We start from the raw sequence: 25,806 nt of genomic DNA on the forward strand, positions 1-25,806 counted from the left end.
AGTCCTGAATAAACCAATAATGAGTAATGAAATTGAACCAGTAATAAAAAATCTTCCAACAAGCCTAGGACCAGATGGACTCACCACCAAATTTTACCAGATATATAAAAAAGACCTGGTATGAGTCTTACTGAAATTGTTCCAAAAAGTCAAGGAGGAGGAATTTCTCCCTCATTCTATGAAACCAGCATCACCCTGATACCAAATCAGGCAAGGACACCACAGAAAAGGAAAACTACAGGTCCATATCCCTGATGAACATAGATGCAAAAATCCTCAACAAAATACTAGCAAACCAAAGTCAACACCACATCAAAAAGATAATTCACCACAATTGAGTGGGTTTTATTCCAGGAATGCAAGGACGGTTCAGCAACTGCAAATCAATAAATGTGATTTACCACATAAAAGTAAGTAAAAAGACAAACCATATGATCAACTCAATAGCTGCTGAAAAAAAAGGCATTCGATAAAACCCAACATCCTTTTATGATAAAAACCCTCAACAAACTAGCATCAAAAAAAAATACCTCAAAAGAATAGGAACCATAGAGCCATATATGACAAAATCACATCCAACATCATACTGAATGGGAAAAAGATGAAAGCATTCCCTCTAAGAACTGGAATAAGACAAGGATGTCCACTTTCACAACTCCTTTTAAACACAGTACTAGAAGTACTAGCCAGAGCATAAAATCAGGTAAGAGAAAGAAATGAAAAATATGCAAATTGGAAAAGAGGTAGTAAAATTATCTCTGTTTACTGATGACATATCATATACCTAGAAAACCCTAAAAACTCCTCCAAATGACTCTGAGACTTAAGCAACTTCAGTAAAGTTTCAGGATACAAAATCAACATACAAATACCAGTAACATTTTTATACCAATAATATTCAAGCTGAGAACCAATCAAAAACCTGATCCCATTTACAATAGCTACAAAAAATTAAAAGACCTAGGAATACATTTAACCAAGGCAGTGAAAGATCTCTATAAACACAACTACAAAACCTAATGAAAGAAATCACAAATGACACAAATAAATGGAAAAATATCCCATGCTCATGGACGGGAAAAATCAATACTGTTAAAATCGCCATACTAATCAAAGCAATCTGTAGATTCAACACAATCCTTATCAAATTACTAAAGTCATTTTTTTCACAGAATTCGAAAAACAATCCTAAAGTTCATATGGAATCAAAAAAGGCTGACTAGCCAAAGCCATCCTAAGCAAAAAGAACATAGCTGGAGGTATCACTGTGTTAGTCCATTTTCATGCTGCTGATAAAGACATACCCAAGACTGGGCAATTTACAAAAGAAAGAGGTTTAACAAACTTACATTTCCACATGGCTGGGAGGCATCACAATCATGACGGAAGGCAAGGAGGAGCAAGTCACATTTTACATGAATGGCAGCAGACAAAGAGAGAGAGCTTGTGCAGGGAAACTCCCCCTTATAAAACTGAGACTCCATCTAAAAAAAAAAAAAAATCAGATTTTATGAGACTTATTCACTATCATGAAAACAGCATGGGAAAGAACTACCCCCATGATTCAATTACCTCCCACTGGGTCCCTCCCTCAACATTTAGGAATTCAAGAACAGATTTGGGTAGGGACACAACCAAACCATATCATTTTAACCCTGGCACCTCCCAAATCTCATGTTTTCACATTTCAAAACCAATCATGCCTTCCCAACAGTCCCCCAAAGTCTTAATTCATTTCAGCATTAACTCAATAGTCTACAGTCCAAAGTGTCATCCAAGACAAGGCAAATCCCTTCTGCCTATGAACCCATAAAATCAAAAGCAAGTTAGTTACTTCCTTGATACAATTGGGGGTACAGGCATTGGGTAAATATAGCCATTCCAAATGGGAGAAGTTGGCTAAAACAAAGGTGCTACAGGCCTCATGCCAGTCTGAAATCCAGGGGGGCAGTTAAATCTTAGAGCTCCAAAATGATCTCCTTTGACTCCATTCTCACATCCTGGTCATGCTGATGCAGGAAGTGGGCTCCCACAGCCTTGGACAGCTCTGCCTTGTGGCTTTGCAGGGTACAGCCTCCCTCCCAGCTGCTTTCACGGGCTGACATTTTGTCTGTAGCTTTTCCAGCCACATGGTGCAAGCTGTCAGTGGATCTACCATTCTGGGGTCTGGAGGACAGTGGCCTCCTTCCCACAACTCCACTAAACTGTGCCCCAGTAGGGACTCTGTGTGGGGGCTCCAAACCCACATTTCCCTTCCACACTACCTTAGCAGAGGTTCTCCATGGGGGCCCCACCCCTGCAGCAAACTTCTGCCTGGGCATCCAGGAATTTATGTACATCCTTTAAAATCTACACAGAGGTTCCCAAACCTCAATTCTTGACTTCTGTGAAGTAACAACCCAAGCTGTACCTTGGCCCCTTTTAGTCTTGCTGGAGCAGCTGGGATGCAGGGCTCCTAGTCTCTAGACTGTACACAGCAGAGGGACCCTGGACCTGGCCCACAAAACCATTTTTTCCTGCTAAACCTCTGGGCCTGTGATGGGAGGGGCTGCCATGAAGAACTCTGAAATGCCCTAGAGACATTTTCCCCATTGCCCTGGTGATTAACATTGGGCTCCTCATTACTCATGTAATTTTCTGCAGCTGGCTTAAATTTCTCCTCAGAAAATGGGATTTTCTTTTCTATCACATTGTCAGGCTGCAAATTTTCCGAACATTTATGCCCTGTTTCCCTTTTAAAACTAAATGCCTTTGGCACCCAAGTCACCTCTTGAATGCTTTGCTACTTAGAAATTTCTTCTGCCAGATACCCTAAATCATCTCTCTCAAGTTCAAGGTTCCACAAATCTCTAGGGCAGGGGCAAAATGCAACCAGTCTCTTTGTTAATACACAACAAGAGTCACCTTTGCTCCAGGTCCCAACAAGTTTCTCATTTTTATCTGAGACCACATCAGCCTGGATTTCATTATCCATATAATTATTAACATTTTGGTCAAAGCCATTCAACAAGTCTCTAGGGAGTTCCAAACTTTCTCACATTTTCCTGTATTCTTCTAAGCCCTCCAAATTATTCCAACCTCTGCCTGTTACCCAGTTCCAAAGTTGCTTCCACATTTTCAGGTATCTTTTCAGCAGTGCCCCATTCTACTGGTACTAATTTACTATACCATTTTCATGTTGCTGATGAAGACATACTCAAGACTGGGCAATTTATAAAATGAGGAGGTTTAATGGACTTACAGTTCCACATGGCTGGGGAGGCCTCACAAACACGGTGGAAGGCAAGGAGGAGCAAGTCATGTCTTACGTGGAAGGTGGAAGACAAAGAGGGAGAGCTTGTGCAGGGAAACTCCCCCTTATAAAACCATCAGATCTCATGAGACTTATTCACTATCATGAGAACAGCATGGGAAAGACCTGCCCCCATGATTCAATTACCTCCCCACTGGGTCCCTTGAACAACATGTAGGAATTCAAGATGAGATTTTGGTGGGTACACAGCCAAAACATATCAATCACATTGCCTGACATCAAATTATACTACAAGACTATAGTAACTAAAACAGCATGGTATTGGAAAAAAAAACAACACATAGATCAATGGAACAGAGTAGAGAATCCAGAAATAAAGCCACATACCTACAACCAACTGATATTTGACAAAGCTGACCAAAATAAACAATAGGGAAAGGACACTCTATTCAATAAATAATACTGGAGAAATTGGCTAGCTATATGCAGAAGAATGAAACTGGATCCCTATCTCTCATCATATATAAAAATCAACTCAAGATATATTAACAACTTAAGAGTAAGATCTGGGCAAGGCACAGTGGCTCATGTCTGTAATCCCAGCACTTTGGGAGGCTGAGGCAGGTGGATCACAAGGTCAGGAGATCAAGACCATCCTGGTCAACATGGTGAAACCCTGTCTCTACCAAAAATACAAAAATTAGCTAGGCGTGGTGGCATGTGCCTTTAATCCCAGCTACTTGGTAGGCTGAGGCAGGAGAATCGCTTGAACCAGGGAGTCGGAGGTTGCAGTGAGCCAAGATGGCTCTACTGCACTCCAGCCTGGTGACAGAGTGAGACTCCGTCTCCAGGGAAAAAAAAAAAAAAAGTAAGTTTTGGGAAACTGTAAACATCCTAGAAGAAAATCTAGAAAAAATTCTTCCAGACATTGACCTAGGCAAAGATTTTATGATGAAGTACCCAAAAGCAAATATAACAAAACCAAAAACAGACAAATAGTACTTAATTAAACTAAAAAGCTTCTGCACAGCAAAAGAAATAAACAATAAAGAGACAACTTACATCATGGGACAGAATAATTGCCACTGACAAAAAATTAATATCTAAACTCTATAAGGAACTTAAACAACTTAAGAAAAAAGCAAACAACTCAATTAAAAACTGAGCAAAGGACATGAATAATCTTATCAGTAGAACTGATAATAGGATAATGGGAAGGGTGACTTCATATGAAATTGTCTGGGCTACAGCTTGCAATGCGCTGATTAGTCCATAATTTGACTTAGATGCTCATCCTGATCATAGAATAGAGTGGCCAAAAGACACAAGAAAAAATGCTCAACATCACTAATTATCAAATGCAAATTAAAACTACAATGAGTTATCTTACGTCAGTCAGAATGGTTATTATTAAAACAATTTTTAAAACCACAAATGTTGGCATGGATGCAGAGAAAAGGAAATGCTCATACACTGTAGGTGGGAATATAAATTAGTTCAATCTCCATGGAAAACGGTAGAAGTATGTCCCAAGGAACTAAAAATAAAACTACAATTTGACCTAGTAATCCCATTACTGGGTATCTACCCAAAGGAAAAAAAAATCATTATACAAAAAAGACACCTGTACTTACGTTCACCATGGTACTATTCACAATAGCAAAGTCATGGAATCAACCTAAGTGTCCATCAGCAATTGACTGGATAAGGAAAATATGGTATCTATACACCATGGAATATTATGCAGCCATAAAAAATAAAATTATGTCCTTTGCAGCAACATGGATGGAGCTGGAAGGCATTATCCTAATCAAACTAACTCGAAAACAGAAAAGCAAATACCACATGTCCTCAATTATAAATGGAAGCTAAGCAATGGGTACACATGGACATAAAGATGGAAGTAATAGACACCGAGGACATCAAAAGTGTGGTGAGTGGGAGAGAGTGAGATCGAAAAGTTACCCATTTGGTACAATGTTTACTATTTGGATAATGGGCACACTAGAAGCCCAGATCCCCACCAGTGCACAATTTACCCATGTAACAAACATGCATGTGTCCCCCACACCCGCGAATCTAAAATAAAATGTAAATTAAAAAAACAACCTGCTAGATACTATTTGGTAAACTGCTACATCAGAAACTATAATTATTGGTCAGAATTTTAAATTGGGACATTAATTATGCAAGTACAGTTTGCAAATCTGTCCGTTATAAATGAATGTCGTGAAAATGAGTTAAGAATGTAAGTTTGCTCCTATTCCATTGTAGTCTGCCTACTAGTACTAGTTCTCAGCCCTGGATGCACATCACCTGAGGAGCTTTTAAAGAATGTTATTGTCTTGGCTCCATCCTAGAGATTCTCATTTAACTGTTCTGAGATTAGGCCTCTGCAGTGGTACTTTTAAATTCTAAAGTGCAGTCAGCATTACTTCTGGAAACTTTTGGTCATTCTTGGGTCCCAGGCATATATCAATATTGGAGATAGAATGTTAAACAAACTCTCATCCATTTCTTATGATGGGTTAAATTTTTAGCTCAGTCACATAGACTCTCCTGCTTCTTCTTCCAACACATTAATAGGCCCAACATTTCAGTAACTGGCACTTGTAGCTTTGATCAGCTCACAGATAGTGACTAGCAAAGGTATAACCAGCCATCTGAAAAAAATGTAAGAATAGTTTTTGATAAACTGCACATCCCAAGGTCAATTATAATGTAATGTCTCTGAGTTTCACTCTCACTGGCTTTCCATTAGCATCTACCTCGTCATCAAAAGAAATCTCACCTAAGTGTGTGAATGGTTTCCCTCTGTCCTTGTACCACAATACAACAGATGGAAGAAATTACAGCAGGAAAAATAGCTACAGACCGGAGGTCTCATGGTCAGACACATGAAACAGAAAGTCTGGCCTTCTCTTTTCAGCACAGATCATAACTATTATTTTAAGCAACAAAATGCAAATGTAGAGTTTGCTCAGAGGCCTCGTTGTGTAACTGATATGAAAGAGACCGCTACCATCCTTTTATGCAACACAAGCTATCCTTTATAAATTGTAGGTCTAGCAGATTGGCTGGAAGTCCCCCGTGGGGAGGAAGGAAGCACGCTGGAAGCTGGCCTGACTAGCGGAGGGAGGGTGGGGAGTCTGAATGGGTCATGGTCATTGGGCTCACATCCACTCCCACCCCAAGTAGAACTTCAACCCTCCCTCATCTCCTTCCCGGGTTAGGTGTTTCCCCTCTTAAATCATGCTTCCCCTCCAATCCCAGGAAATATCAAAAGAGAGTAATACATAGGGAATTTACATAGATGCAGAAAGGACGAGCTTTGCTATGTTTTAAAATGAAGACAATATCAGTAAGAGAAAGTTTTTGTTTGTCTTTTAGATATTTCACTCTGAGGATGGACCTCAAAGGATCACTGTCCTTTGTCTTTCCCTATGCAGGACTTAAGGGATGTGAATTACTCTCCCCACTTTTCTCTCCTCTAGCTTCACCAAGGGGTAAATTTGATGGAACCAAATGACCCTGAGGGATAAGAAAGGAGTAAAATAAGAAGGCATGAAAGGAGAGAAGAGAAGAAAGAGGAAGACACAGAAGGGAGACCAGAGACATCCTTATGTCCATGGGAACTGGATACCACGTGGATTAATAATTGTCTGAGTGCCAAAGTAAAGAACTGTTTTCACTGTCCTCTGGAGATTGTATATGTGCTTGATGCTGCAATGTTACGATTTTCTATCTGGGAGTGGACTGTACCTTCCCGACTTTTCAAATGCAGTATTAAGGACAGTAGTGAACACAGGGAGAGGTTCAACAGCAAGCCTGAAGGTTTATGGCAAATTGAAATCTAATCCACATGAGGTCAGTGGCCTAGAGAAGATTCTATAGAAGGAAGTGGGACAGGGTGCTTCAGACCTTGGCCAAAACTAGATTAATATGGTTAGGATTATGACACATGGCAAAGGTACCATAAGGAACATGCAAATGCTTTAACATGAAGAGTTCCATAAGGAGAAACACAGCTTGACTTCCTGGGGCCCCATTCCATAAGCATGCATATTTTTCCACAGTTGCAATATTACAGCAATTTTATTTTCCTCATTTAACTTACATATTCTTAGATTTTTACAGTTTTCAAGGTATCATACATTACTTAATTACTTGTCCATCTTTCTTCTCTTTTTTTTTGGTATTAGTAACGAAGCAATGAACAACTTTAGGCAAATATAATTTTGCTACTTAAAACCCTAGATTGCCTCTTGTAAATTGACTAAAGAAAAGAGCATCCATTACCAAGAGTAACACTGAACAACTTTTCCCTCTAGCAAGATGCCTTTTAATTTAATTACATTTATTCTTCCACCCAGTTTGAATGGAGAATCACAAAATCATATGTGCCTTAACCCCCATCTATCGCAAAACACATAGGCTATAGTTTCTTGATTTAATGCTGGTGATTTAATGGCACCAATTGAGCGTTAAAATGTAAATTACTCAAAGACAACAGCAATTCCTAAATTGCAGCCTTTCCAGAGTTCAAGTCTAAGAGTTATAATTTAACAATACCGTTATGACATAAACTATAAAAATTATCATTAAACACAACTGGAACTTGTTTATATTTCTCTTAAAAAAAACAGGGTTTTTAAATATACCTTTAAACCCTGAAATCCAAGAATATTTGAATAAAGATAATCCAATTCTGTAATTTTTCTAACTCCCAGCAGGTGGCGATGTTGCTCGCTGGTGTGGTCTCTGAGGGGCTAGAAGTCTCATTGAGAGCACAGGCGGATGGTCAACCTCGGACAAGATGAAACATGGGCAGTTCTTGCATAAGAGAGATGCAGTCTTTTGTTAACCACTAAAAACTTCTAAAACTATTTATTAAACTGAGTTAGCTTCACTTTGTAAAACTAACTTTTCCCCTACGTCGCCCCCTCCCTACAACTGCGCATAGATTCCCTTTGATTATTCAAAAAGTTTAATTCATTAATCTGAAAGTTAAGAGCTTTCACCCACTGATTCCAATTTATCTGTCTGTCAGTGGTGAAAGAGTTAAGAACATGACGTCACAATATGCTGCTCTGGAATACTGATTATTTGGAGTTGAAGGCACTTGGAAAACAGCAGGTGCAAGAAGGTCACGCTGACTTTCCTTCTGTTTCTTAACAGCAGGCGATGGAAGTCCCATGTGAAAGATGTCCTTCTTATTCCAGAGGGAAAGTTCCATTCTAATCAGCAGGGGGAAGCTGAAGCTTAGGGGAATCTGTGCAAACAAACCTTATTAAATTAACCCTTATCTTCCTAGTCACATATCCGCTTACTTAACTCCCCTAGCCCAAACCCCTTGGCCTTGTCACATTTTCACAATTTACTGCTCTTTGTCCAATTCACTATCTAAATCTTCAACTGTAACTGCATCTTGGGGTCTTCATTTTTTATGAGGGCTCTTGCGCCATGCAAAACTTGTATTAAAGAAATGTGTATACTTTTCTCCAAGTAGTCTGTCTTACACCAATTTCAGTCTCAGGCGCAGCCAAAAATCTCTAAGTGAGTAGGGGTAAATTTGGCCTCTCCTGCAGTGGCATAGAGGATGGATACAAATAGGGAACGACAGGAAGCAGGGAGAACAATTAGGAGATTCCCGCAGTGTTTTAGTTAGAGCTATTTAAATTACTGAAATTTAAAAAGGAGTTCATTATAAAGAATTGGAATGCAGCAGGCCCGAGGAATAATATCAACAGGAAAGGTGACCACTATCAGACCTCTGCCTCTAATTTCTGTCTTTGCTCTTATCTATGTATTTGTTTCCTTCTCTCTCTTGAAGACAGGCACTTTCTCTCTCTCTTTCTATTTTTTTAGACGGAGTTTCGCTCTTGTTGCCCAGGCTGGAGTGCAGTGGCACAATCTCGGCTCACTCCCACCCCACCTCCCGGGTTCAAACGATTCTCCTGCCTCAGCCTCTTGAGTAGCTGGAATTACAGGCATGTGCCACCACATCTGGCTAATTTTTCTGAATTTTTAGTAGAGACGGGGTTTCTCCATGTTGATCAGGCTGGTCTCGAACTCCCAACCTCAAGTGATCTGCCTGCCTCGGCCTCCCAAAGTGCTGGGATTACAGGCATGAGCCACTGCACTCGGCCTCTTTTTTTGGTACACACGGGGAGAATATGACCATCAACCCAGATTCTACATTTTCCATCATCACAGAAACGGATTATTTTGTTAGTCTTAGGGAAGGATTTTGATTAGCCTAATTCGGACTGATCATTTGTGACCAGTGGAATACGATCAAGTTGTTCAAAATGGTTGTGTCCTAACCATGCAGATGGGAGAAGCAGGTCAGTTCCTGGAAGATGAGGCTGGGATTGCAAAGACTTGACAATGTGCCCCGTACATATTGAGGCCTAGATGTGAAGTAATGCTGTACTGTGCCACGGTGATGTTGAAGGAACAATAAAAAGAGGACATACATAGGAGACATTTGGGGGAAAGAATTTGTACAACATGGAGAATGATTAGATAAAAGGTGAAAGAAAGCATCAAAGAACTCCAAATACTATAAATCAAAACAAGAAAAGGGAAAAGGTGGAACCATGAGGGGATGACATGAATGCAATCGAGTGATTTGAAGATGCAGATGGTTTTGAACTGGCTTAGAACGTCCACCAGGATTTTTGTGGCAGATCGTAATATAGGTCAAGAAGGATTTAAATTTAGTTCTTATATTCTCAAATTAATAACTCAATGAATTGCTTTAAGTTTTGAAAATTTACTTTCATAAGAGTCAGATCTGAACTGGCTTCTCTATTTCGGCAGAAGCACCATCATGAATCTCAGAACCTTTAAAAAGACACCCAAGAGTAGCAATTTTCTTTCTGAGAGTACGGATTCTATTTCTGACATGTAATTTTCCTTATACCCAACACCAAAAATGGGGACTTGAATCATAAACATATTTAACACTCAGAGGAGACATTAGTAGGATCCTTTTAAATATTGAAAACATAATGAAATCAGGATCCCAGTCCAAATAATGTGCCTTTTCTTAAAAGGCAAAAACAGTGTGGGAGACTAAATCCAGGAGTTCTTGATTCAAGTCTAATTTGGGCTCCATTTAACTAGGACCTCTGTATTATTTTTATTTGATTAAAGAAATGTTATCCATATTACTCAGACTAGACAACCAATAAGAAATAGAAAAGGATTATAACTAGACGGAATGTATAGGTACACTACATGCTCTTTTTACTCTTCTAAAATCCAGAGGATTGATGATATTGTCACTGTTGCATTAAAACATCTGTGATTTGGGAGAACAAAGGCAAATTTTGACTAGCCTAATTTGGGTGGATCATCTGCGACCAGTGGAATGTGATCAAGTTGTTCAAAATGGATGTGTCCTAACCATGCAGATGGGAGAAGCAGGTTGGTTTCTGGGAGATAAAGCTGGGGCTGCACAGACCTGATATTGTGCCTGGTAATTATTGAGGCCTAGACATGAGGTAATGCTGTCCTGTGCCATGGAACCTAAAGAACTTAATCCAATGCCCTATCCCACTAGATAGGCACTGAGCTATCTTGGGCAGCTGACTTGCTTCTATATCACAATTTGCTATTTCACAGTCTAAAATCAGTATCTACACTGAGGAATCTTGGCTGATCTGTGGCAAAGGCTACTCATTTACCTATTCCTTAAACACTGAGTTTATTTAGTGCTCATTTAAAGCAAGTTTGGGGAGGGCTTGTCTCCTTCATGCCTCCACTCCTTTTGTTCAAAATCCTTTTCTTTTTCTCCTTCACTTTTTCATTCCTCTGGGTTGTCTTGTATCCTAGTCTGCTCCCATACAGGTGAAATTACTGACTTATATCCTGATCAATTTCCCCACTTTTCCTTTAAACTTCTCTTCCACCTCCTACTCAATTCTTGCCCATTCTATACAATGTATTTATTTTGTTATTGTCATGGTAAATACTCAGGGACAGGGAAAGTTTTAGTTATTTGAAGGGGACTGTGTACTTGAGAAACAGAAGTGTAAAATCTGTGAGTGTATTAGTCATCTGTTGCTGTGTAACAAATTATCCCAAAACTTAGTGGTTTACAAAAAAAAAATTTTATTATCTCACAGTTCCTATGGGTCAGGAACCTGGCCTTGGCTTAGCTGGGTCCCCTGCTTTAGGGCCTTTCATAGGCTGCAATCAAGGTGTCAACTGGGTCTACAGTCATCTCAGGTCTCAACCGGGGAAGCATCTGCTTCCAAGCTCACTCATATGGTTGTTAGTTGGATTCTGTTCCTCCCACCGAAGGCCACAGTTCCTTGCTGGCTGTTGGCTGGAGGCCACCCTCAATTCTTTGCCACATGGCCTCTCCATGGGGCAGCTCAGAACAAGGAAGTCAATTTCCACTGGAGGGAGAAAGCAAGAGAGTGAGCAAGACAAGTCATAGTCTTCCATAATCTAATCTCAGAAGTGACATCTCATCTTTTTGCTGTATTCTGTTCGTTGATAGCAAGTTTTTAGATCCAGCTTACACTTAAGAGGAGGGGATTACACAAAGCCATGACTATCAGGAAGTGAGGATCACGGGAGGCTATCTTTGAATTTTGCCCCACACCTAGCACATGCTATATAGTAAATAAAAGAAAGAATGTTACAATCCTAGTGGGGTATTTGAGAGATTATGTTCAGCTGCATTTTTTCCTATTTGCATACCTACGTTTGTGTGTGGCTATGTGTCTATGTTTGGGTGCTTAGAGAAGAGTAGTTTGTGTTCAGCCAGCAGGAGAGAGCAAATAACAACCATTCCAAATCATATGCCCTCTCATGAGTTTCCCTTATCACCTGAGCCCAGGATCTCCGCTCTTCTTCTTACATCTCTGCTCTTCTCCCAACTCTCAGGAAATGACTTTTTCTTCCATTTTGCAAAGAAAATAGAAACCAGTGAGCACAATCTCCCTGATCACTCAATGCTCACATCTACAAACATCTCCAACTCCCTCCATCTTTATCCTTACTGTGTCCTGATTTAAGGACTGCCTGTATTCTGTCCAGGCAGCACCATCTACCTGTGCACTGGGGCCCAAATTCTTCTACCTTCTCAGGGCCACAATTCATCATTATTTTTCTTTAAAAAGACAGGAAGTAAACATTTCTTCTGCCCTGAATAATCCTTTGGTTAGTATCTTCTCTCATTCCATCCCTTTACAACCAAGCTTTCTGAAGGAATCATTTGTTTTTTCTTTTTCTTTTTTCGTTTCCCTTTTTTTTTTTTCTTGAGAAAGGGTCTCACTCTGTTGCCCACGCTGAAGTGCAGTAGTGTGAACATAGCTCACTGTAACCTCGATATCCTGGGCTCAGGTGATCCTCCCACCTCAGTTTCCCAAATAGCTGGGACTACAGGCATGTGTCACCATGCCAGGCTAAATTTTTCGGGTTTTGTTTTTGTTTTTTGTTTTTTTTCTGTAGGGGTGGGGTTTCACTATATGGCCCAGGTTGATCTCGAACTACTGGGCTCAAGTGATCTGCCCACTTTGGCCTCCTCAAATGCTAGAATGACAGGCATAAGACACTGTGCCTGGCTTTTTTTTCAACTTCCATTCATTCTTCAACCCACTGCAATATGGTTTGTAGCCATCTCTCATCTGTAGCAATAACAACAACGCAGCTCCTTCTCCTGCACCCACTCCTCCACCAACTGATCTTCATTTATTTGCTCCTCTTTGCAACAAAACTCCTCAGTATTTCAAATGTCTCTTTTAAACTCATCTTTCTCAGTGGGTTGCCTCTACTGTTTCACTGAAATGCTGTTGTCAAAGTCCTCAATGACATTGTTAAATTCAATGGTCAATTCTCATTCCACAGCCTACTTGACTTAATGGCAGGATTTGGTGTGGTTGATCAGTAGCCTCCTCTTGCTGCATTTTCGTCACTTGATTTTGAGGATAACACATGCACTTGATTTTTCCTCTACCTCATTGGCCACTCTTTCAGTGACTTGTTTTCTCCATCTCTTAATATTGGAGGGCCCCAGGGTTCGGTCTTTAGTCCTCTTCTCTTCCATTTGATGAACTCAACCTGTCTTATGGCTTTAAATACCATGAAGCAAGCATAGACTCTATATTTGTGTACCAACTACCTATTCCACCAGGATATTTAACAGAATGTCAATCTTCCTATGTCCTAAACTGAACTCCTGATTTCTCCCCTATCCAGACTTGTTCTATCCATTATCTCCCCACCTCAGCCAATAACATCTGCATTGTTCCAGTTTCTCAGGCCAAAAATAGTGGCTCCTCTCTTCATCTCATACCCTGTTCTGATGTGAGCTACTTGTTCTTTATGGACTTGCTTATGCGTGGTTTCATACATCATCTCCATCAGAAAACTCTGCTGGCACTATCTTGAGAAAATATCTAGAAGCTGCTCTGTCCTCAGCACCTTGGCTACCTGGTCTGACCAGCATCTCTTGCCTAGAGGGTTGTAAGAGCATCTTATTTAGCACCCTCCTTCCACCCTTGCCCTAATATGTCCTCTCCCACACCCGACAGTCTATTCTCCTTCCTGTAGACAGAGTGAGTCTTTAAAACAGGAGTCAGGTCATGTCAGTCTTCTTGTCAAAACCCTCCAGTGGACTCACCATTTCACAGAAAGTGAAAATCAAAGTTCCTACAACAGCTCACAAGGTCTTAGATGAGCAGAATCCTCTGACCCCAACTCCATTGCTTTTTCCTTGCTCACCCTCCTCCAGCCTCACTGGCCTCCTCCATATTTTTGAAACATGCCAGGGATATCTGCAGCCTTTCCAGGAGCCACTTCTTCCCCCTGAAATCTCTTCCCCAGCTATCCTCATGGCTCACTCTTTCTTGTCTTTCATGTGTTTGCCTGAAGGTCACCTTGCCAATGATGTTGACTCAAGTCATCCTCCTCCATGCCCTCCTTTCGCCAACCCTTCCTTTTTACCCCATTTTTTTCCCATAACACTTTTATCTTCAAAGTGAAATCAAATTTACTGTTTACTTATTGAATATGTTTATTTGTTATTGCCTAGAGTGTAAGCTTCATGTTGAAAGGGATTTTTGTCTGTTTTCTTCATTGCTATATCTCTAGCTCTTATAAGAGTGCCTCAGAGTAGGTGTGCTTTATTAAACATGGTTAACAAAAATTGAATTTCCAAAGCCCATTGACTCATTTTATTTTCAATTTTACTACTTAGCATTTAATGCTATAGAACTCTTCTTCTTTTATAATATTTTTCTCTCTCCTTCTTCCCTGGTACCTTGTTCTCTTCCTGCCTGACCTGTCCTGACCGGTTTCTTTTTGTTTCTTTATTTTGAGATGGAGTCTTGCTCTGTCACCCAGGCTGGAGTGCAGTGGCGTGATGTCAGCTCACTGCAACCTCTGCCTCTGGAGTTCAAGCGATTCTTGTGCCTCAGCTTCCCTGAGTAGTTAGGATTACAGGCACCCACCACCACGCCTGGCTAATTTTTGTATTTTGAGTAGAGATGGGGTTTCCATGTTGGCCAGGCTGGTTTCGAACTCCTGACCTCAGGTGATCTGCCCCGCTCGGCCTCCCAATGTTCTGGAATTACAGGACCGGTTTCTTTCACAAGTTCTAATTTTCTTAAATATGGGTTTGTCATGATTCTGTCCTGAATTTTATACATCCCCCCTTCACAATCTTATCCACACACTTATGTTTCAATTACCATTTTCTCTTCAGCCTTACTATCTCTCCAATGTCCAATAAGACACCATCGGATCTCCCAAAGGTATTTTGTCATCAATAAAGCCAATCTGAACTCATTAATTCAGATTTATTCTTTCTCATTTTCTTTTATCTTTGTGAATAGTATCATTAGCCACACAGTTGCCCAAGCTGGAAATCTGGAGGTTATTCTCAATTACACTTTTTCTTTATCACTGACTATCAAATCTAATTGACCACACAGTCACATCAGTTTTACATTCTAAATATTTCATTCTAAATATTACATTCTAAATACATCAGACCATCATTATCAGCAATCTCAAACCATACAGGGGTGAAACTTACTTATGCACAGTCCTCCAATCCATTACCAGAGAGATCTTTCTAAAAGCCAAGTCTGATGGCATTGTTTCCTTACTTAACATCTTTGGATGCCTCAGTTAGCCTAAAAGCCCCTCACTTCCAGTCCCTCCTTCCCTTACTTCTCCCTGTGCATCTTCATTGCTAAATTACCTGCTGTTACCCATATTTGTCATACATTTCTCAACTCTGTGTCTCTTCACAGGCTGTGCTTGAAGCACTGTTTCTCACTTTCTGCTTTTCCAGGGGCTATCTTCTGTATTTAAAGCACATTCTCTCCCCTTCTCCACTCAGCAACTCCCACCCATCTTTATTTATTTATTTATTTATTTTTGAGACAGAGTCTAGCTCTGTTGCCCAGGCTGGAGTGCAGTGGCACCATGTTGGCTCACTGCAACTTCTACTTCTGGGGCTCAAGCGGTTCTCCTGCCTTAGCCTCCCAAGTAGCTGGGACTACAGGTGCACACCACCACGCTGGCTAATTTTTGAATTTTTAGTAAAGATGGAGTTTCACCATGTTAGCCAGGCTGGTCTCGATCTCCTGACCTCATGGGATCCACCCACCTCAGCCTCCCAAAGTGTTGGGATTACAGGTGTGAGCCACTGTGCCCAGCCTCACCCATCTTTTAACATTCATTTTAGTCATCTCTTCTTCTATGCATTTTTCCCTAAATTTCTTTTTCAAGAAAAGCTAAGTGCTTTTTTGGTTTACTGCTATAGTATCGTAGACTACATTGGAACTGGTATTTACAAATATGGCTACCTAATATGTCTACCTCTCTAGGCATTTAGGACAATAACTGTATCTTTCCCATCATTGCATTTCTAGTATCTAACACAGTGCTTGACCTGTAACAGGCTGTCAACCAATGTCAGAGTAAAGAGAGAAGAGAAATATGACATACTTTGGAAACGTTTTGTGTCAGTTCAACCTCCACTTAAAAAGCTTGAAGAATATAAATTGGACATAAATGGAAAAAAGTAATAGAATATTTGTAGCACTTATCTTTATTATAGGAATTCTTTTGTTAAATCCTGGCTCTTCCTTATAAACCCTCAGTCTACCTCTTATAAGGTAAGATAGTCAGTTGATCAGCTGTGTGTCTTGGTTGGGCCTTTTCACTTTCATAGGTACTGTTAAACCTGTCCTCCACCATTTAATTGATGATCAAAGCATATAGATATGTCTTTAGTGAGCAACATCAAATCTCTACCATCCAAGTTATTACATTAGATTATAAGAATATCAATGAGTGTTCTGCTAGTTCCTAACAGTGGATATGCATTGTGTTAATTTTTTCTTGGTGTTTTAATTTTACCATTCCTACCAAACAAGAACACACATATCCTACGAACTTTGACTATATGTATCATTTGACATTCAGTGACTAACTTTTACCAAATATATTTAGGGAAGTTACATGAAATAGTCCCATGAGAGGATACTATTTTGTTTATTGTAGGGAATGTTTGTAAAGGACATAACCTTCTGTAGTCCCTCTTATGTTGACCTATAGAGAAATTGCTCTCAGTTTTCATTGCCAGAAAATGCTGTGTCTTCTCGGCAACTGATCTATTTTAAACTCATGCACTCTGTGAATCCTATAGCCAATTGTGTTTCTCTTCTTTTTCAGAAAGTTTAAACACATACTTGTGGCCTCGCTTTAATAAGCACATAGTAGTTTATGACTTGGATTTTTTACATACTAACAGTTCCCTTGGCTTTATTTTATTTTTCTACCCTCATTTCCCTTCACTCAGGTTTGTTCATCTATTTAGTTTCTTCCCATTTGTGTATTTTTGTAAGCTGCCTCAAATCCTTTTATAGTAACAACACAGAGCTAAACTAAATTAAATGAAAATACAATTATCCCATTAGGTGTCCATGATTCTATTAGAGGAAAAATAATCCACTACGCACTTCAAGGTGAGTACAGGTTTTATCAGTAGCCAGCAATTACAAAGTTCATGAGGTAGAAAATTGTTAATTTTGAAAGCCAAGGACTCAGACTCTTCTCAGTTAATGGTTATTCCCAGAGTTCTGATATTTTACCTCCCAGAAGAATGAGGATCTGATAAAACATGTAAATAATATTCACATTCTTAACAGCTTCTCTCACAAGTCATGCTGTCCCAGCCAGATTACCAAGATGTCACTGAACTCATCCACTGGGATCCCCAACACTCTGTGAGGGCAGTGTGGATTCTAACATTGGACAGCTTTTTGCCGTCTGGTGGAAATTCACCATTACCCAGCAAGATGCACCATAGTGACTTGCTCTTTTTTTTTTTTTTTTTAGACGTAGTCTCACTCTGTTGCCTGGGATGGAGTACAGTGGCACGATCTTGGCTCACTGCAACCTCCACCTCCTGAGTTCAAGTGATTCTCCTGCCTCAGGCTCCTGAGTAGCTGGGATTACAGGCACCTGCCACTGCACCCAGCTAATTTTTTGTATTTTTAGTACAGACGGGGTTTCACCATATTGGCCAGGCTAGTCTCAAACTCCCCACCTCGTGATTCACCTGCCTCGGCCTCCCAAAGTGCTGGAATTACAGGCGTGAGCCACCGTGCCTGGCCTGACTTGTTCTTCAGTTATTCAAACTGCTCTGATTTTTTTGAGAATACATAATCATAAAGCAAACGCTTAAAAAGTTCATTTGGCTTCTTCTAGTGTTTATATTCCTTGATAAGTGATCCTCTACTGTACTCCTACAACTAATTAGATGACACATTATACATGTAGTATCTTAGGTGCTTTACGTATTATTACACATTGTTTCATTTAATCATCAAAATGACTTAATGAAATAATCTTATTTTCTTCATTACAGATTAAGAAATTGAGGTTCAAAGGGGAAAATAAATTTATCCAAAGTCAGATAATGACTTTGGGTATTAAATCTCAGAGCATGTAACTCCAGAGATTATCTGTTTTCTGAAACAGCATACTATTTCTCTGGACTCATGCAGGTTCCTGTCTTTTTTTTTTTTTTTGTCATAATCCTGGATAATGGGAATATTTTATGTGTTTGTGTGTGTGTATGTACATGTGGGTATGTATTTTGTGCACTAAATTAGGGTCAGGGTCATAGTAGGTAGTAGATAATTCATTCACTCAAAAGGGTTTAACTTAAGAATGTAGTGAAGAGATTACCTACAGATATATGGGTGGGGCTAAGGATCCCAACAGAATGGTGAGGCATCCAGAGACTAGCCATAGTAGGGCACCATTGCCACTCTTAGGTCTGAAGGTGCCAAGGGAGGGAATTTTGTCACAAGAGCCTGGTGAGATGTTAGCCACCTACTTAGGTAAGTTACCTGTTCTTTATTATCTTGCTTACACATTGTCTCATACCAGTCTGTGGCCTATTAGAAACTGGAACACACAGCAGGAGGTGAACACAGGCAAGTGAGCATTAACACTTGAGCTCACCTTCTGTCAGATAAGCCACAGCATTAGGCTCTCATAGGAAGGTGAACCCTGTCATGAACTGCACATACGAGGGATCTAGGTTGTGCGCTCCTTATGAGAATCTAACGCCTGATGATCTGAGGTGGAAAAGTTTCATCCTAAACCATCAGCAACATCCACCCCCTCACCCCATCCATGGAAAAATTGTCTTTCACAAAACTGGTCCCTGCTGCCAAAAAGGTTGGGGACCACTGTCATACACCGTCTCCATGTAATAATAAAATAATTCTATACAAGTCCAACTTTATGATTTGTAAAACATATAACATCTAGTTCATGACATGCAGATCAGGTTATACAGTTGCTTGGTGTGCCAGGCTTAGGCATTTAATCTCTACTCACCTGATATGGTTTGGCTCTGTCCCCACACAAATCTCATCTTAAATTGTAAACTGCCACAATTCCTACATCTTGTGAAAGGAACCTGGTGGGAGATGATTGAATTATGGGTGCAAGTATTTCCTGGGCTACTTTCGTGATAGTGAATGAGTCTCATGAGATCTGATGGTTTTAAAAATGGGAGTTTCCCTGCACAAACTCTCTCTTTGCCTGCTGCCATTCATATAAAATGTGACTTGTTCCTCCTTGCCTTCTACCATGATTGTGAGGCCTCCACAGCCATCTGGAACTGTAAGTCCATTAAACCTCTTTTTCTTTCCAGTCTTGAGTATGTCTTTATCAGCAGCATGAAAATGGACTAATGCAGTAAATTGGTACCAGGAGCGAGGTGCTACTGAAAAGATACCTGAAAATGTGGAAGCAACTTTGGAACTGGGTAACAGGCAGAGGCTGGAAGAGTTTGGAGGGCTCAGAAGAAGACAGAAACATGTGGAATAGTTTGGAACTTCCTAGAGACTTGTTGAATGGCTTTGACCAAAATGCTGATAATGATTTGGACAATGAAATCCACGCTGAGGGGGTTTCAGATGGAGATGAGGAACTTGTTGGGAACTGCAGCAAAGGTGACTCTTGTTATGTTTTAGCAAAGAGACTGATGGCATTTTGCCCCTGCCCTAGAGATCTGTGGAACTTTGAACTTGGGAGAGATGGTTTAGGGTATCTGGCAGAAGAAATTTTTAAGCAGTGACCAGGTGCAGTGGCTTATGCCTGTAATCCTGGCCCTTTGGGAAGCCAAGGCAGGCAGATCACCTGATGTTGGGAGTTTGAGACCAGCCTGGCCAACAGGGTGAAACCCTGTCTCTACTAAAAATACAAAAATTAGGCTGGGCACAGTGGCTCATGCCTGTAATCCCAGCACTTTGGGAGGCCGAGGCAGGTGAATCATGAGGTCAGGAGTTCGAGACCAGCTTGACTAACATGGTGAAACCCCATCTCTGCTAAAAGTACAAAAATTAGCTGGGCGTGCTCGCATGCACCTGTAATTCTGGCTACTCAGGAGGCTGAGGCAGGAGAATCACTTGAACCTGGGAGGCTGAGGTTGCACTGAGTTGGGATCGTGCCACTGCACTCCAGCTTGGGCAACAAGAGTGAAACTCTGTCTCAAAAAAAAAAAAAAAAAGAAAGAAAGAAAAACGAAAAGAAATTTTTAAGCAGCAAAGCATTCAAGAGGTGGCTTGGGTGCTGTTGAAGGCATTCAGTTTTATTAGGGAAGCAGAGCATAAAAGTTCATAAAATTTGCAACCTGACAATGCAGTAGAAAACAAAATCCCATTTTCTGAGAAGAAAGTCAAGCTGGCTGCAGAAATTTGCATAAGTAACAAGGAGCTGAATTTTAATCACCAAGACAATGGGGAAAATGTCTCCAGGGCATGTCAGAGGTCTTCAGAGCAGCCCATCCCATCATAGGCCCAGAGGCCTAGGAGGATAAAATGGTTTCATGGGCTGGGCCCAGGGTCCTATGCTGGGTGCAGGCTAGGGACTTGGTACCCTGCATCCCAGCTGCTCCAGCCATGGCTGAAAGGGACCAACATAGAACTAGGGCCGTGGCTTCAGAGGGTGCAAGCCACAAGCCTTGGCAGCTTCCATGTGGTGTTGAGCCTGCAGGTACACAGAAGTCAATAATTGAGGTTTGGGAACCTCTGCCTAGATTTCAGATGATATATGGAAATGCCTGGATGTCCAGGCAGAAGTTTGCTGCAGGGGCAGGGATCTCATGGAGAACCTCTGCTAGGGCAGTGTAGAAAGGAAATGTGGAGTCAGAGCCCCCACACAGAGTCCCACTATGGTTTAGTGGAACCATGAGAAGAGGGCCACCATTCTCCAGGCTCCAGAATGGTAGATCCACTGACAGCTTGCACTCTGCATCTGGAAAAGCCACAGACAACACCAGCCCATGAAAGCAGCTGGGAGGGAGGCTGTACTCTGCAGAGCCACAGGGGCGGAGCTGCCTAAGGCCATGGGAACCCACCTCTTGCATGAGTGAGGCCTGAATGTGAACATGGAGTCAAAGGAGGTCATTTTGGAGCTCTAAGATTTGACTGCCCCACTGGATTTTGGACTTACATGGGGCCTGTAGCTCCTTTGTTTTGGCCAATTTCTCCCATTTGGAAAGGCTATATTTACCCAATGCCTGTACCCCCATTGTAGCAAGGAAGTAACTAACCTGCTTTTGATTTTACAGGCTTATAGGTGAAAGAGACTTGCCTTGTCTCGGATGAGATGTTGGACTGTGGGCTTTTGAGTTAATGCTGAAAATAGTTGAGCCTCTGGGGGACTGCTGGGAGGGCATGATTGGTTTTGAAATGTGAGGACATGAGATTTGGGAGGGGCCAGGGGCAGAATGATATGGTTTGGTTGTATCTCCACCCAAATCTCATCTTAAATTGTAACTCCCACAATTCCCATGTGTCATGGGAGGAACCCAGTGGGAGGTGATTGAATTATGGGGTCAGGTCTTTGCTGGGCTGTTCTCATGATACTGAATGAGTCTCATGAGATCTGGTGGTTTTAAAAATGGGAGTTTCCCTGCACAAGCTCTCTCTTTGCCTGCTGCCATCCATGTAAGATGTGACTTGCTCCTCCTTGCCTTCACCATGTTTGTGAGGCCCCCCCCAGCTATGTGGAACTCTAAGTCCATTAAACCTCTTTTTCTTCCCAGTCTCCAATATGTCTTTATCAGCAGCATGAAAATGGACTAATACATTGCCCTAGTGGCAAACCAGATGCTAATGGTTTTTAGGGATGCTAATGCTGTCTTCACCAATGAATGTCTTGAAGAAGAAGGGTCCACCAGTCCCTCTGGAGGGTAGCATTAGAGAGTGGCTAAGCATATTCAACATAATATATTCACTCCAATATTTTCACATTTTTAAGCCCTACACTCCTTTCTCAACACTATGCCAGAGAAGTTCTAGCATCTCAGTCATATTGGATATAGGCTACCACTGAGCCAAGGCTTTATTTTAAAACACAGGAAATTGTTGGTCCCATTGCCAAGAGCTGGAGGCAACACATTAAATCCCAAATCTCAGGAATGTGCACCCATATTGATGAATCTGGTCCAATCCAACAGTGTATTTTACTCTCCTTGCTCTAACACCCTTGGAATCTACTTCCATGCAAGATCCCCAGAATTGTCACTATAAATTAGCAAGACCCTACAATTTCTTCAGTGTCTATACCATCTCCTCTTAGAGCAGACCTTCCCTATCTAGACTGTGCTGTACTATACATCTGGAAGCAAGGGGGAGTGGTAGGGTGGATCCCTTCAAAATTTGGTACCCCCTCTTGAAGGAAAATGCTAAATGTGAAGGCTGTGAAATTATTTTATGCAGAGGAATTCTGTTCCCTTAGAGAAGGTGAAAGTTTACTTCAATTGGCAAAGATGATTCAGAGATGTCTGGGGGGATTTACAGTTCTCAGCATGGGCTATTTCTGCCCAAATTTCCCTATACTAAGTTTGAGAGTCCCAGTACTTTCTGAATGAGGCCCTTAGCTTAGCCTAACTTGATCAGATTGCCTATTTAACTGGTTTTGTAACTCTGTAACCTATACAATCATGCCTTGGGCATGAACCTTAACCATATCTTCCTTACAGCTACATTAGACAAGGATTTTCTTTAGGGACATCAAAAAGGCATACTGATTCTCCCCCTAAACCTTGATTTTGGAGGATAAAGCTTTACATTCATCTTTTTTAAAAAAAGTTCTCCAAGGCAGTCAGAAGTAGGTATATCACCCCCTATAGATATGTTATTACTGTCAAAGCAATAACAACAAATGTCCAGCTACTTCATCTTCCAAACCCTGTTCTCCACTTGGACCCTGTCTCATGCTATTACTGCCGATAATTTGAGTTAACATAGTGCCTTTTCATGCCATAGCTTACCAATGGCATATTTTCTCTTGTTAAGAAGATTATCTGGGACTCATGACAATCAGTCCAGAATCTACTTTGAGAATCTGTTTCCTGGGGTCATGCCTAACCAATCACTCTGTCAGTCAGGGTCCAAAGAGAAAACATGGCATTCCTAAAAAGACATAATGGAAGAGAATTTAATGAAAGGACTTTTTACAGAGGTATGGGCACAGTTAAGAAAACAAATGGGCCAGGCGCAGTGGCTCATGCCTGTAATCCCAGCACTTTGGGAGGCCGAGGCCGGCGGATCACCTGAGGTCAGAAGTTCGAGACCAGCCTGGACAACATGGCAAAGCCCTGTCTCTACTACAAATACAAAAATTAGCCAGGCATGGTGATAGGTGCCTGTAATCCCAGTTACTCAGGAGGCGGAAGCAGGGAGAATTGTAGGAGGTGGAGGTTGCAGTCAGCTGAGATTGTGCCATTGCACTCCAGCCTGGGCAACAGAGCAGGACAAGAAAGAAAGAAAGAAAGAGAGAATGAGAGAGAGAGAAAGAGAAAGAAAGAAAGAAAGAAAGAAAGAGAGAGAGAGAGAGAAAGAAAGAAAGAGAAAGAAAGAAAGAAAGAAAGAAAGAAAGAAAGAAAGAAAGAAAGAAAGAAAGAAAAAGAAGAAAGGAGGGAGGGAGGGGGAGGGAAGGGGAGGGAGGGAGGGGAGGGGAGATGGAAGGGAGGGGAGGGAGGGGGATGGAAGGGAGGGAGGGAGGAAAGGAGGAAGGGAGGAAGGAAGGAAAAACAAGTGATGGTGAGGCAATCAGCTTTCTCCAACAATAAGAAGTTGTTACCACTCATAGACCTGAAGGATCAAAAGGAGGGAATCATGTAACCAAGCCTGGGAAGAAGTTGAGCTCTGAAAGAGCTCTGAAAGAAGCGCTGCCTGACAGGGACTGTCAAAACCATAGCAACATAGGGAGGGAGTGGGAGTATTAATACCCTATCCCCATCTCCTTCCAAACCTCTGATCTCCTGATATTGCTATTTCCCATAGGTCAAAATCAAATGATAAGGGAGCAAGGATGATGTGGAGACTATCCATTAAGACAGCTCATCTCTCTTCCATTTCCAGGTGAAAGGAAATGAAGAATATGGATACCTGAAATATTTTGCTAAGGCAAACTTCCCATTATAAATGCTATCTAATTCTTATATATTAAAATAATGTGGATTATCTTTTAAGTACGTTCTCACATTATTAAACCTGTTTTTTAAATCAAAGTCTACTAACATTTTTTGGTTAAAATTCTGCAATGTTGATAGATTAATACAAGTTAAATGATGATACAGGATGGGGAGGTGGGAGAAAGGAAATGTATTCTAAAGCTTTAGGAAAAATATATTTTAAAATGAGATTTGATCAAGATAAAGCTCTAAATTAAATGTTCTGACTACAATTTGACCTTTTTACTTTAGCTTCCTGTAAGGGGAAATGCTCAGGAGAACATTTGCATATAAATAGTTACTTGAAAATAATGTTTTGATAAGCATAAATGAATATAAAACAACTTCAAAGGTTTCACATCACACTTAAAATGATCATGTGTTTAAGGGAGTTAAGAGATACTAGTTGGAAAAAAATAAGGTGCTTTGAATTTGATTCATATTTAGAGAGCAGTTCAAGAATCCCTCTGTAATTCAACAAAGCCACTTGTAACAATAGTAATTGTAACATTTTATTGGAAGTAACTCTTAAAGTATCATCTAAATATAAGCCCATGATGTTTTTCTTTAACCTTGACAGATACACTACTTTGATGAGGTGGAGAAGAAGAATAATTTGGAAAAGGTTAAAGAGAAAATGTGTATATGAAGTAGCCAAAGGTCTCAGGCAGTTGAGGAGAACATAAAATTTTCTTTCACATTTCCACTTTATACTTCCAGTTTGCAAATATAAAGATTACGTTACCCCTGTAAACAAATAATGTCTATAAAAAGATAGGTCAATTAGGAAACTCATGACTTGCATTTTGTTTTATCCTCCAATACTTCAATATTTGTGGCATTACTTAAAAGCTGACATTATCCAACCCAGCCATAAAATAAAAACCCTGAGCATAAAAACATATAATAGAAGCTCTAGCAAACTTATTTTCACTTTTTCCCATATTTTTAAGATAATTAAGCCCTAAAACTTTCAAAATTGTTTAAAATCTTTACATACTCCAATTGCCTTAACACTTTTAAAATTCTATCCAGGCTAGTCCTTTATGATTTTAGTTTACTTACAAACATTTTAATATATTATCTATCCAGACATATTTTTACAAATTTTGGTGAAAATATTTGTTGAGACAGGATAGCAAAAGCAAAACTAAAGTTTAAAAGTTTTTAAATTGACGTGTACTTTCATAGAGTAAATGCACATATCCCAAGCGCACAGTTTGATGAGATTTGACAAATATGTACACATATATAGCCGATACCACCATTAAGATATAGCATTCCATTACTCCAGAAAGCTTTTTTATGCTTCGACCCAGTTAACTGTCAACTGCCCACCCCGACCCCCACCACAAGAGGCAGTAGCTGATCTGATTTCTATCACCATAAATTAGTGTTACGGGATCCCTGGGGTGTCCATTTTCTTTCTGGCGACCTCTGTGGCCAGTGGCATGTTTGCACAAGTTCTTGTCCTGTGTCCAGGAAGAATGAGGTAAGCAGACAAGTGAAGGGTGAAGGAGACAAAGAGGAGCTT

General features: G+C 40.6%; 1 long non-coding RNA gene across 1 annotated transcript in view, besides 2 other annotated features; it reads right to left on the bottom strand.

Annotated features, from left to right (window-relative positions):
* Window positions 1-25,806, bottom strand: part of DMP1-AS1 (DMP1 and DSPP antisense RNA 1) — a 164,356-nt gene that overhangs the window by 103,582 nt on the left and 34,968 nt on the right. Inside the window, exon 3 of the long non-coding RNA NR_198971.1 lies at window positions 1,350-1,484. This is a non-coding gene — a long non-coding RNA (DMP1 and DSPP antisense RNA 1). The remainder of the gene's footprint in view (window positions 1-1,349; window positions 1,485-25,806) is intronic.
* Window positions 7,877-8,171: an enhancer, noted in NCBI's record as "tiled region #8695; K562 Activating non-DNase unmatched - State 12:CtcfO". NCBI's record gives its function as "activates a minimal TATA promoter and a strong SV40 promoter by Sharpr-MPRA in K562 cells {active_cell/tissue: K562}" and the evidence as "EXISTENCE:reporter gene assay evidence [ECO:0000049][PMID:27701403]".
* Window positions 9,041-9,984: an enhancer, noted in NCBI's record as "NANOG-H3K27ac-H3K4me1 hESC enhancer chr4:88601833-88602776 (GRCh37/hg19 assembly coordinates)". NCBI's record gives its function as "activates a minimal SCP1, AML or CMV promoter by ChIP-STARR-seq in naive H9 embryonic stem cells {active_cell/tissue: H9 hESC(naive)}" and the evidence as "EXISTENCE:reporter gene assay evidence [ECO:0000049][PMID:30033119]".

The sequence above is a fragment of the Homo sapiens genome, chromosome 4 (assembly GCF_000001405.40).
Source record: "Homo sapiens chromosome 4, GRCh38.p14 Primary Assembly".
Taxonomy (NCBI): Eukaryota; Metazoa; Chordata; class Mammalia; order Primates; family Hominidae; genus Homo; species Homo sapiens.